A 14,481-nucleotide genomic window follows, 5' to 3' on the forward strand; every position below is an offset into this window, starting at 1 on the left:
AATGCATCATAGGAGTCCCAGGGAAAAAGAAAGAGGAAATGGGGCAGAGAGATTGTTCTCTCTATTGGAATAATGACTGAAAACCTCCCAGATTTAATGAAAGACATGCATATAAATATCCAAGAATCTCAACGAACTCCAAATAAGATGAACTCAAAAAGTCTGACACAAAGACACAGCATAATTAAACTGTCAAAAGTCAAAGGGATGATTTCTTCTCTCTCCTTTCTCTGTTTTGAAAGCAGAGAGAAGAAATGATCACATATGAGGGGTCCTCAGTAAGATTAACATCAGATCTTTCATCAGAAACTAGAAGGTAGTGGGCTGATATATTCAAAGCACACACACACACAACGCTGAGGGAGTTCATTACCACTAGACCTGCCCTGCAAGAAATGTTCAAGGAAGTCCTACAGGTTGAAACAAAAGAATACTCGTCAGTAACCTGAAGCCTTATGAAGAAATAAAGATCTCTGCAAAGGTAAATAACATGGGCAGTTAGAAAAGCTATTATTGTATAACAACAGTTTATAGCTCTACTTTTTGTTTTTAACATGATTTAAGGGACTAAAACATTTTTTAAAAAGTAATTATTAGTCTAAAAGCTAGTATTATTGTAACTTTGGTTTGTAACTCCACATTTGTTTTCTACATAATTTAAGAGATTAATGCAGAAAAACAATTATTAATTTATGTTTTTGGACACATAACATAAAGATGTAATTGTGTGACATTAATAAATGGAAAAGATGGGGTTGGAACTACAAAGAAGCAGATGTTTTGTCTGTTATTGAAGTTGGTATAAATTCAAATTAGAATGTTTTAATTTTAGGATATTAAATGTAATCCATGATAGCTACAAAGAACATAATTATAGAATATACACAAAAGGAAATTATAAGGAAATTAAAACATTTTACTACAAAAAGTCAACTAAGCACAAAAGGAGACATTAAAGCAAGAAATGAGGGACAGAAAAAGGTATCATGCATGTAGAAAACAAATAGCAAAATGACAGAAGTCCCTCCATATCAGTAATTACTTTAAATGTAAATGTATTAAACTCTCCAATCAAAAGACAGAGATTGCCAAAATAAATTTTTAAAACATAATCTAATTATATACTATTTACAAAAGATCCACTTTAAATAAAAAAACACAATAGTTTGAAAATGAAAGGATAGAAAATGATATTCCATGAAAATAATGACCAAAAGAGACCAGGGGTGGCTATACTAATGTCCAACAAAATAGACTTTAAATTTTAAAAAATTACAATAGGCAAAGAAGGACATTATACATTAACAAAAGTTTCAACACAACAGGACAATATAGTAACTATAAATAATTACACACCTAACAGACCATCAAGACATATGAAGCAAAAATTGACAGGATCAGTTGGGTGCAGTGGCTCATGCCAGCACTTTGGGGGGCCAAGGCAGCTGGATCACTTGAGGTCAGGAGTTTGAGACCAGCCTGGGCAACATGGTGAAACCCTGCCTCTACTAAAAATACAAAAATTAGCCAGGCATGGTGGTGCACCCCTGTGGTCCCAGCTACTCAGGAGTCTGAGACACAAGAATCACTTGAACCAGAAGGTGGAGGTTGCAGTGAGCCAAGATCATGCCACCACACTCTAGCGTGGGCTACAGAGCAAGACTCTGTCTAAAAAAATAAATAAATAAAAATGACAGGATTAAAAGGAGAAACAGACAATTTTACAATAATAATTGGACACTTCAACACCCCACTCTCAAAAATGGGTGGAACAACCTGACAGAAGATAAATAAGGAAATAGAGGACTTGGACAACACAATGAACAAACTGGATTTAACAGACATACACAAAAAATTCCACCCAACAACAACAGTATGTACATTCTTCTCAAATGCACATGGACATTCTCCAAGATAGACCATATGTTAGGCCACAAACTGAGTCTCAATAAAGCTAAAAATATATGTATTATACACAATATTTTATTATATCACAAGATAAAGTTAGAAATCAATAACAAAAGGAAAACTGGAAAATTCATAAATCTGTGGAAATTAATCAACATACCCTTAAGCAATCAATTGATCAAAAAAGAAATCACAAGAGAAACTAGAAGCAAAAAAAAATATGTAGGACAGATGTGGTGGCTCAGGCTTATAATCCTAGCACTTTGGGAGGCCAAGGCAGGAGGATCGCTTAAGCCCAGGAGCTCAAGACCAGCCTGGGCAACACAGAGAGACACTGTCACACAAAAAAAAAATTAAACTAAAAAAAAAAAATTATATATATAATTTCCATACGATTTGGCAATTCCACTTCTGGGTGTGTATCCAAAAGAATTGAAAGCAGAGTCCTTAAGAGTTATTTCTTTGATAGCAGTGTTATTTACAATAGAGAAAACATGGAAGAAACCCAACAAATGAACAGATAAGCAAAATATGGTATTTACATGCAGTGGAATATTTTTCGGTCTTAGGAAAAAAATTCTGACATGCTACAATATGAATGAACTTTGAGAACATGATGCTAAGTAAAATAAACCACTAACAAAAAAACAAATACTGTAGGATTCCACTTACATGAGGTACCCAGAAGAGTCAAATTCATAGAGACAGAAAGTAGAACGGTGGTTGCCAGGGGCAGAGAGGAGCAGGGAATGGGGTACTGTTTTTGAATGAGTATATAGTGTAAGTTTTGCAAAATGCAGAGTTTAAGACATGGATAGTGGTGATGGTTGCACAACAATGTGAATCTACTTAATTACACTGAATTGCATACTTTAAAATGGTTAAGATGGTCATTTTTTATGTTGTATGTGTTTACCACAATTTTTAAAAATTTCATTGGCTGTAAGCATTGCAGCTAGAGGACATTTCTCAGAGTCTGCCAAGGTCTGTTCTCTGTGGAATGTGTTGTTCAAGAGCTGTGGGGCTGTGCTACCTAGGTTTGATCCCAGCTCTGCAACTCACTAGCTGGGTGACCTTGGGTAATTTATTCAAATGCTCAGTGCCTTGGTTTTCCTATTTATAAATGAAGATAATAATAGTCCCTACCTAATAGAGTACTCGTAAGATAAAATGTTGAACTGTATATACAGACCTAATCAGAATTCCCAACCCATACTAGATCCTCAATCATTATTATTATCATCATTGCAGAAAAACAAGCATTTTAGAAGAAACCAGTCAGGCCCCAAAACTCATAATTCTACATTCTTCTTCTGTTTTCCACTGTTTTCATAGTCCTTTTAGTGGTCTCCCTTCCTCCAGTCTTGACTCCTTCCAATCTGATATTCACCTTTAGGCTAAGGAAAACTTTCATAATGGCAAATCTGATCATGCACCTTCTCTGTCTAAGACTGTTCAAGTGCTACTGCCATGATCTGGCCCCTGTCAGGTTCTTGAACCCTACCTCTTGCTGTTCTCCAAGACTTCACCCATGCTGCATTTGCACTGAACTGCTTGCGGTTCCCTGAGACTGCTTTTTTGCTTCTCACACCTCAGTGCTTTGTCCACACAGCTCCCCTCACGCCCCAGGGAAGTCCTTCCATGCTTGGTCTACCTGGCAAACACCACTGATCTTTGAAAGCACAGCTTTACGGTCACTTTTCCATGAAATGTTTTCTGGCTGCCTTGGCAGTTGATCACAGAAACTGTAATACTTGAGTGCATTACTTGTCTCGCTCTGGCAGGAGCTGATGCTTATTCCACTTCATGTGCCCAGTACTCAGCATGGGCCTGGCATATACTACATAAATAACACAGAATGAATGGACCTACTGTGCACCAACCAAGACAAGCAGACCTAAGTCATGGTGTCTGCTCTCAAGGAACCTAATATTGAATTAAGGTTAGAGAATAATCCCAATCAATAGTTCAGAAGGGATGCAGTTAAATGTCTCATGAGGGTGCAAAGAGAGTCTCACCTTCAAAATGATGGCATAATTTGGGGAGATTTTATAAACATTAAAACAGCGGCCAGTATGTATCAAGCACATTTATTATTTGTCAGGAACATGCTAATTATGTTAAAATTATTATGTAAATTAAATCTTTTTTTTTTTTTTTTTTTTTTTTGAGACAGAGTCTCACTCTGTCACCCAGGCCAGAGTGCAGTGGCGCGATCTTGGCTCACTGCAACCTCTGCCTCCTAGGTTCAAGCAATTCTCCCTGCCTCAGCCTCCTGAGTAGTGGCACCTGCCACTACACCCAGCTAATTTTTGTACTTTTTAGTAGAGATGGGGTTTTGCCACATTGGTCAGGCTGGTCTTGAACTCCTGACCTCAGGTCCGCCCCCTCAGCCTCCCAAAGTGCTGGAATTAAATCTTAATATATTAAAACATCAGTTTGAGCAGATAGAAATCAGACACTGACATTTTACATAATTGAACTTACATCAGGCAGTCCTTGGTTATTACATCCATTTTCTCTTCATGTGTATATGTGTTGATTTGTATTTATTAACCCTGTTATAGAAAGAATGCAAACAGAAAGAAAAGACTTAATGTAATCTTATATAATCTTGGATTCTACAGAGGAGCAATGGTTTTGAAAGCCAAACTTTAAAAAAATAAAACCAGAGGAAGGGTGACCTTACCTCCAAATACTTCTTGTTCACGTATCAGAGGCAATGCTGGCCAACTTGGAGGAGATAGTTGTACTGTAAACTGTGGATAGGGGGAACCCAGCTATGAAGTCAGGGAAGTTTCTGCCACGAGGAAAAGGGAAAGCCCATCCTTTCTGGCCCTCTGGAATGTGGGGAAAAGAGAGATGCAACAAGAGGTGAATCGAAGATTCCAGAGCACTCATCAGTTTCGCTTAGAGTGAAACCTAGAGGTAGAGGAGCAAAACCTTTATATGGCTATGGAAGAATTCAAAAATACTGTGTCCAGGTTTGCTTCCCTGGACACAGCTTGAGGAAAGCTGCAGATCTAGAGAAACTCCACATTCAGCCTGAAAACACATCTAAACTGTCATAGAAATAAGAAGGCAGCTCTGAGTGAAAGAGGTAGCAGATCTTTGATTTTTCCAACCGTGAAGGGGATCTGGAAGTTCCGTGTGTCCCAGAGGAGACCCCAGAGGGATTGGAAGGGCGTATAGATACATAGCTTTAGAGGTGGGTCAAAGGGACTGCAGAACATGGGCCTCAGGATCAAAGGAAAATGACCCAGACCACAGTTTTCAGCATTAGGTGCTAATGCAAGATCCCAAAGTACCACATGACTTAGTCACACCTAAGCGGACACTCTGCAAGGATCCAGGAACAGGGTAAGACCAGTCACCCAGCAGGGAAACCAGTAAGGACACAGAAGACACCATAAGATCCTATACTTGCACAGACTGAGATGGACCTCCTTTCTCCAGGGCCATCAGGTCTTAAAATCTCTTACTGTAGGCCCAAATCATCTGGGGACAAGCAAGGAAAGAGAAAGAAAATCTGAATGACTGAACATTTAATCAAAAGAGATTTATCTGGATGGGCATGGTGGCTCATGCCTGTAATCCCAGCACTTTGGGAGGCTGAGGAGGGTGGATCATTTGAGGTCAGGAGTTTGAGACCAGCCTGACCAACATGGTGAAACCATGTCTCTACTAAAAATACAAAAAAATTAACAGAGCGTAGTGGCACATGCCTGTAGGCCTGTAGACCTAGCTACTTGGGAGGCTGAGGCAGGAGAATCGCTTGAACCTGGGAGGCAGAGGTCGCAGTGAGCCGAGATCATGCCACTGCACTCCAGCCTGGGTGACGGAGCGAGACACTAGGAACCACAAAGACAAAGAACCTACATGCATAGATCTTGCATTCTGGTAGATAAGACACACACACATCATAAAAAAAAAAACAAAGAAAGTATGTCATATATCAGAGGGTGATGAGTACTAAGGAGGGGGTTGAGAAGTGCAGAAGGTTGCTATTTTATGTAGAATGGACAGGAAATCCTCAATGATAAGGTGGCATATGGGCAGAGATCCGAGAACGTGAGCAGGGAGCCACAAGGATGGCTGGGAGAAGAAAGTTATGGGTACAGGAAACAGCAGGTGCAATGTTCTTCTACTAAGAGTATGTTCTGGGTGTTCAGAGAAAATCAAGGAGGCCAATATATCTAGAACAGACAGACCAAGGGGAAGAGTTGTCAAAGAAAAGCAAGGGGCCAGATCATGTAGGTCATACGGGCTTCCATAAGAACTTTAGCTTTTGTTCTGAGAAAAATAAGAAACAAATGATGGATTTTGAACAGAAGAACGGCATGATCTGACTTATATCACAAAAGGATCACCTGTTGGCTAAGAAATAGTAATAGAGGCCGGGCGTGGGGGCTCATGCCTGCAATCCCAGCACTTTGGGAGGCTGAGGCGGGTGGATCACGAGGTCAGGAGATCGAGACCATCCTGGCTAATAAGGTGAAACCCCGTCTCTACTAAAAATACAAAAAATTAGCTGGGCGAGGTGGCGGGTGCCTGTAGTCCCAGCTACTCTGGAGGCTGAGGCAGGAGAATGGCGTGAACCCGGGAGGTGGAGCTTGCAGTGAGCGGAGATGGCGCCACTGCACTCCTACCTAGGCGACAGAGCAAGATTCTGTCTCAGAAAAAAAGAAAGAAAGAAACAGTAATAGAAGGAAAGAAATAAAAAGAAGCCAAAGAAAGACAGACACATAGTAAATTCATAATAAAGTGATATGATTACACATACGCATACATCAATAATCACAAACAATACAAATGGACTAAACTCTCTAGTTAGAAGACAAATACTGTCAATAAGGGTAAAAACATCAGCTGCATGTTGTTTATAAAACACGTTTTAAACATACAAACACAGAAAAATTTGAAAATAAAAGAAGAAACTGCTAACCAAAAGAAAATTGTCAAAATAGACTTTAAAACAGAACGCATCACTAAAGATAAATGAAGTCATAAGTGATTAAAGGTTCCCTTCATCAGTAAGATATAAGCATTCTGGTGGCCTCCATGCTTTGTAGATTAATGAAAACCTCTCTGGAGGAGAGCACATCCATGCTAAGCCTTAGGGAACTTCACAAACGATACTTCAAGGGAAATGGTGAACACGCAGTCGAAGATAACCAAAGATAAAGACCAAGATTATTGACGAAAACATTCAACTATCCACTTTTCATAGAAAACAGCTAAAACTAGGAAAATAGAAAGATTGAAACTAAAAAGATACCACTTACGAAGCAGCTAAAAATAAAAAGAATACAGAACATGAATAGAATCGAATATAGGAAGAAATCTAGCATAAGGTAGGTAAGGCTTGAGGGACAAATTGTAATACTTACTGAGAGGCACTTTAAAAGGGTAAGTGATTGGAGAAATGTACAATATTCCTGGATAGGAAGATTCAATATTGTACATATCGGTTCTTCCCAAACTATCTATAGATTCAGTGTAATTCAAAATTAAAATCCAAGAAGACATTTCATAACTGGACAGTTGATTCTAAAATTTATATGGAAAAGTTAAGGGCCAAAAAAGAGGCAAAACACTACTGACAAAAGACCAAGACAGAAGGCATATGTAAAGACATATGATTAAACTAAATAGCTACAGCAATGAGGAATCAATCAGAAAAGATAAATAGATAAATAGAAGGACTAGAGCGTCTAGAAACAAATCCATACCTATATGAAATTTTCTGTAGGAACAATTGCCAATCAGGAGAAAAAAGAGGTGAATTTTTAAATGAATGGCTCAGAGACTGTGATAATCCATATTTTAAAAATGAAATTGTATGTTTATATCATATCATACCAAAAATCAATTCCAAGATGTCACAAGACTTGAATGGAAAGGAAAATTATAAAACTTCAAAAGACAACATATATTAATATCTTTGTCATTTGGGAATAAAGAAGGGCTTCTTAAAACATAAAAATTATGAAACAGAAAGTAGAGTATTTAAAAGACAACTACATTCAAATTAAGAACTTCTATTTTTGCATGTGATTGAAATTTTCCATAAAAGAATCTTAAATGTAAAAACTCTGGCAATCCAAAAGCACAATAAAGATAGTACAAAGTAGGGGCCATAAATTAAATGACTTAATTTAATGCTATGAATTAAATTATAATGAATCAATATACAAAATATGTAAAGAATTTCAATGAATCAATCAAGAAAAAGACAAACAATCCAAAAGAAAATAGACTAAAGACATAAAGCAATGTCATAAAGACAAAATACAAATGGACCATAAGCATATGTTCAATTACATTAGTAATCAAAGAAATGCCTATTAAAACCAATGAGAAAACTTTTCAAGTCCACTCAGTTGGTAAAAATTGAACAGTTGGACAATACCAACCATTGGCTAGGATGTAGTACAACTGTGACCCGATGCCCACTGCTGAAAATACTTTGCAATCAGTTTGAAAAACAATTTGGCATTAACTAATAAAATTAAACATGTACATATCCTAAGGCCCAGATATTCCCCTAAGGCTATATCCTGAGTAACTCCTACACATATGCAGCAAAAGATGCACACAAGATTATTCATAACCACATGTTTTTAACAGGGGTCAGTACACTTCTTCTGTAAAGGGCTAAATGGTAAATATTTTATTCTTTGTGGATCATCGAGCAGCCAGTCGACTCTGCCATTGTAGAAAGAAAGCAACCTTAGACAATACATAAAGAGATAAACATGACTATGTTCCCATAAAACTTTTCTATGAACGTTGAACTTTGAATTTCATATATTCACATACCATGAAATATTCTTCTTCTTTTGATTTTTCCAACCATTTAAAAATATAAAACTATTATTATGTTGTGGGCTATACAGGATCAGGAGGATTTGGCCCATAGGACTTTTTTTTCCAGCCTCTGGTTTATAATGCAAAAGAAAAACGAAAAAGAAACAACTCAGTGTCCATCAACAGACAAAGAGCTCGATAAATTATGATATATAAACAATAGATATTATACAGTGGAGAAGAAGAATGAAATTCACACATTAGCATGAATGGAACACAAAAAGAAATAAGCCAAAAAAAGACTACTGTGTTAGTCTAAGTCTTCTAAGAAGCAGACACCAAGACAGAATTAAATGTGTAAGAGTTTTATTCCGGGGAAATACCTACGGTAAAGAAGGTGGAGCAGGAGCTGCAGAAAGTCTAGAAGAGCCATCAGACTGCAAGTCTGACCCCAGGTGAAAAGGAGGAAGAAAAGTCTGAACATGTCTTAGACAGCCATGCAGCCTAAGAAAGTTTATTCAGGGAGTCCTTGAGCCAAGCTGGTCCACAGCAGGCTTTTTACTTTATGTTTTTTTATTTTTTTATTTTTAGAAATAAACTCTCCCTCTGTCACCCAGTCTAGAGTGCAGTGGCATGATCATAGCTCATGGTAACCTCAAACTCCTGGCTCAAGCTGTCCTTCCACTTCAGCCTCCTGAGTAGCTGGGACTACAGGTGTGCACCACCATTTTTTTTGTAGAGACAGAGTCTCACTATGTTGTCCAGGCTGGTGTCAAACTCCCGGCCACATATGATTCTCGACCCCTGCCTCCTAAAGCGCTGGGATTACAGGCATGAGCCGCTGCACCCAACCAAGTCTACTTTAGCAGCCTCGCCGCAATGTCACTGCCAGTGAACTGCACGTGGGAGACAGGCACTGACACCCATGGATTTCAGAGTTCAGCAGCTAAGCTTTTGGTCACTTGATCCCTTGCAGAAGGAAGTCTCTGAGGTGCATTCCCATGGCCATTGTAGCCACATAGAGTATACAACCCACTCATATAAAGTTCTAAAACAGGCAAAACCAAACACTGTTTTGTTTGTTGATTTACACGTAGATACTGAAACACAAAGATAAGCAAAGGAATGATAAACGTAAACTCAGGATGGCGGTTTACTCTGTGGGGGAGGGTGGGGAAGTAATTGAGGAATTTCACACCATGGCTCATCATTAAGGCACTGGAAATATGTACTTAAGCTGGGTGGAGGGCACATAGGTATATATTGTTTTATTATTCACTAAGCTATACATAGAAATTTTATATGCTTTTTTGTATGCGTGATGTATTGTCTGATAATTTTTATTGTAAAATATCCTTTGCATATCTAAGGAGTAGGGTGTGTAAATATTCAGTCATGCTACGAGTATAATGGCTATGTGCTTGGATGTTGTAAACTTTCAAGATTAGGTATGTAAAGCAACCTAGTTGAAGCTCAACAAATCATAGCTCTTTTCCTCCTTTCCCTCCTGCCAAAGGCTTCAGTACTCTTCTGTATTTCTTCAGGTTCTTCTAGGAAATGGTTCTTCTGGTTTTACTGAGGAAATCAGTCGACGCAACCTAATGGTCGCCATCCAGTGGGATGTCAAAAAGCAGCCTCTCCATCTTTCTCCTTCCTTTCATCATGGTAGATGTGGGCAGAACAGCATGATTCTGCCACCTTCCTGATCACTACTCACAGGTGTAACTGAATTCATTAAGGACAGATAGTCCTCCATTGGTAAAATATGTGTGAATCTGACCTGCTCCAATATTAACTTCCTCTAAAATTCAGAAGCATAGTCTGTATTCTCACAGTGCTTTATATTCCCAACCAGCTCAACCCATTGTAATTCTAAGAGGCTCTGCATTGGACTAGTTGTTAAGACTCTTGTCCTGAGACAGAAATAAAGAGAAACTTGATACTGCTGAGGCAGAATTTCCCATTCCTAGTTCATTGTTGTTCATCAGTAATTGAATTTAAATTTTAACAGATTCCATTTTTGCTACTATTGAGATTTTCTTGATCTATGGATATATGTTATAGTAAAATATTTCTTTTTTTTTTTTTTTTTGAGACGGAGTCTCAGTCACCCAGGCTGGAGTGCAGTGGCGCGATCTCGGCTCACTGCCAGCTCTGTCTTTTTATTTTTTTTCTTTGAGACAGAGTCTCACTCTGTTTCCCAGGCTGGGGTACAGTGGCCCGATCTTGGCTCACTGCAACCTCCGCCTCCCCAGTTCAAGCGATTCTCCTGCCTCAGCCTCCTAAGTAGCTGGGATTACAGGCACGAGTCACCATGCCTGGCTAACTTTTGTATTTTTTAGTAGAGACGGGTTTTGCCGTGTTGGCCAGGCTGGTCTTGATCTCCTGGCCTCAAGTGATCCTCCCACCTTGGCCTCCCAAAGTGCTGGGATTATAGGCATGAGCCACCACACCCGGCCTTCTAGTAAAATATTTCTAACATCAAATCATTATTGCATTCCTTGAATGCCGTTAATTTAGTCATGAATGTATCTTCATTTACTAGAATGCTGTTCTCAATTTGCTAGTGTAATTTTTTACAATTTTTGTTTATTTTCATAATTCAAGTTGGATTATAATTTTTGTGTAAAGAGAGAGTAGCTGTGTCAATTCTGTTACTGAGGTTATTTGTATTATAAATGAATAAGGAAATTTTCCATGTATCTTCTTGCTGTTTCTTGTACATTTGAAAGAACCTAACCCATAAAACCGCCCATTCATGCCCTCATATCCTTTCCTAAATGTACCTTTTGACATCTCTAGAAATGGGTCCTTACTTATTCTACCTTTCTAGATTTTCCATATCTAATGTAAATTTCTGTAGCTACAGTTTCCTCAAAATCAGTTAATATATTGAGATGTTCAAACTTATTTTAATTATACAGAAAGATTTCTTTTTTTTTTTTTTTTTTAGACTGAGTCTCGCTCTATTGCCCAGGCTGGAGTGCAGTGGAATGATCTCGGCTCACTGCAATCATCGCCTCCCAGGTTCAAGCAATTCTTGTGCCTCATCTTCCCAAGTAGCTGGGATTACAGGTGCCCGCCACCACACCCTGCTAATTTTTTGTATTTTTAGGAGAGACAGGGTTTCACCATATTGGCCAGGCCGTCTCGAACTCCTGACCTCAAGTGATCCACCCGCCTTGGCCTCCCAAAGTGCTGGGATTACAGGCGTGAGCCACCGTGCCTGGCCCAGAAAGGTTTCTATGTTTTAATTTATCTCCTCATCAAAAAAAGTTTAAAGAAAAAATTGACTTCATGACAATTTCCATAGTTTATTGTCTTTTAATTGTTCATGTTTGGCTTAATATTATTCCTTCTTTTTGTTGTCATAAAATTTTATTTGCCTTTATTCTTCACACTCGGATTGAATCTTTGGTCAGTTTCATTCATTTCCCAATTCCTATTGTTTACTTTCATTTTTTAATTTGAAATCTATTTCTTTCATCACTGTTTTTATAGTACCTGTGAGTTTGATATGGAGAACTCTCATTTTCACTGTTTTCTAAGATAGATAGATGATAGATAGATAGATAGATAGATAGATAGAGAGATAGATAGATAGATAGATAGATAGATAGATAGATGTGTGTTTTTGTTTTGGGTTTTGTTTTTGTTTTTGTTTTGTAGAGACAGGGCCTCGTTTTGTTGCCAAGGCTGGTCCTGAACTCCTAGGCTCAAGCAATCCTTTCATCTTGGCTTCCCAAAATGCTGGGATTACAGGCATGAGCCACAGAGCCCAACCTATAATATCTCCAAGATATTTTAAACCACAAGTTTAAGTTGAGGGTTTTTTTTTTTTTTTAAGGGGATTTCGCTCTTTTCCCATGTGATTAAGGTTTAGGATAACAGAAAATGCACATATAATTTCTCCCATTGGAAATGTATTAAGGTTTTCTTTGTGATCTAATTACATCTCATAGTTGTTCAATGAACTCCTAACAAGGAGTATTCAACTATTTGTAAGATACAAATTTCAGACTGGGTGCCGTGGCTCACGCCTGTAATCCCAACATTTTGGGAGGCTGAGGAGGGTGGATCACGAGGTCAGGAGTTTGAGACCAGCCTGGACAAGATGGTGAAACCGTCTGTACTAAAAAAATTTTTAAAAATTAGCCAGAGGCTGAGGCAGGGGAATCGCTTGAACCCGGGAGGCGGAGCTTTCAGTGAGCCGAGATGGCGCCACTGCACTCCAGACTGGGCGACAGAGTGAGACTCCTTTCAAAAAAAAAAAAGACACAAATTTTAATTTAGTCTACTTAATTAAACTTAGTAATGTTATTATCCAGATTCACTACGTTCTTTTTTTTTTGAGACGGACTCTCGCTCTGTCGCCCAGGCTGGAGTGCAGTGATGCGATCTCCGCTCACTGCAAACTCCGCCTCCCAGGTTCACGCCATTCTCCTGCCTTAGCCTCTGGAGTAGCTGGCACTACAGGCTCCCGCCACCATGCCCAGCTAATTTTTTCGTATTTTGAGTAGAGACGGGGTTTCACCGTGTTAGCCAGGATGGTCTCGATCTCCTGACCTCGTGATCTGCCCTCCTCGGCCTCCCAAAGTTCTGGGATTACAGGTGTGAGCCACCGCACCTGGTCCAGATTCACTATGTTCTTAATTTTGGCTGCTTAATCTTTCAGAAATGTAGAAAACTATGCTTAAGTCTTTCTCTTCTGGGCTTTAAATTTTTTTCTTCTTGTGTACCTTATATAAAAATCTTTCACTGTATATGTCAATAACATGTTATGGATTGGATGAATATTCCTGATCATTATGTCTGTAATGTGCCTTGTACTTTTCACAGGAGTAAAATGACCCTTCCATCACTTTTAATGCTTTTATACTTTTAATTCTTAATGATATATTAATATAGGAGTCTTTTAGTCATGATTTTTGCTTTTTTGTTTGTTGTCTGCACATATTAATGAACCCAACATGTTGGTTTCAATCTTACTGGGTGTTTTATTCGTCTTTTCTTTCTTAATAGATGTATCCTTTACAAATAACACATAATAAGATTTTGTTTGCTGGGGTTTTTTTCCCTATACTAAGGGTAATTTTATTTTACTCCAATATCTTGACCTATTTATGTTTACTGTCATGAATATGTAAAATGTATAAAATGTTCAATATTATTTATGTTCATCTTATTTCATGCTTTTGGTTTTGGGAGAAATCTTTATTTTTTTTCGTGTTTTCTTATAGTTTCACATCATGTTCTATTTATTGTGTCTTCTGCAGTGATATGAAAATTGTCAATTTTAAAAATGTATACTGGTGATTACCCTTGAGTTTTACATTAAGACTTGAAACAGGCCGGGTGTAGCGGCTCATGCCTGTAGTCCCAGCACTTTGAGAGGCCAAGGTGGGTGGATCACTTGAGGTCAGGAGTTTGAGACCAGCCTGGCCAACATGGTGAAACCCGGCCTCTACTAAAAATACAAAAATTAGCCAGGTGTGGTGGCAGTCCTCTGTAATCCCAGCTACTTGGGAGGCTGAGGCAGGAGAATCGCTTGAACCCGGGAGGCAGAAGTTGCAAAGACTCGAAACGTCTTATAGTTAAGTATTATTTCCTAGTTGATACTTTCCTACTACAGCAACCCTATTTTTTACTTATTTTGGTTCATTTCTTGGCCATCTTCAGTCTTGTGGATAATATCCCAGAGAAAGGGTTCATGGGTGTTTTACATTCTGGGCCTTTTAGTGTCTCCTAACACCCCTACCCACC

General features: G+C 38.5%; 1 long non-coding RNA gene across 6 annotated transcripts in view; it reads right to left on the reverse strand.

Moving 5' to 3' along the window:
- Window positions 1-14,481, reverse strand: part of LINC01418 (long intergenic non-protein coding RNA 1418) — a 107,448-nt gene that overhangs the window by 61,531 nt on the left and 31,436 nt on the right. For 4 of the 6 annotated variants that reach the window (XR_001751640.2, XR_001751639.2, XR_932527.3 and 1 more), the window contains 2 exons: window positions 4,598-4,748; window positions 4,396-4,466 (listed from right to left, as the gene is read on the reverse strand). This is a non-coding gene — a long non-coding RNA (long intergenic non-protein coding RNA 1418). Of the gene's footprint in view, window positions 1-4,395; window positions 4,467-4,597; window positions 4,749-8,730; window positions 8,849-14,481 lie in introns of all 6 variants that reach the window. The other 2 variants (XR_001751641.2, XR_932528.3) reach the window with 1 other exon arrangement.

Source organism: Homo sapiens, chromosome 15, assembly GCF_000001405.40.
Source record: "Homo sapiens chromosome 15, GRCh38.p14 Primary Assembly".
NCBI lineage: Eukaryota > Metazoa > Chordata > Mammalia > Primates > Hominidae > Homo > Homo sapiens.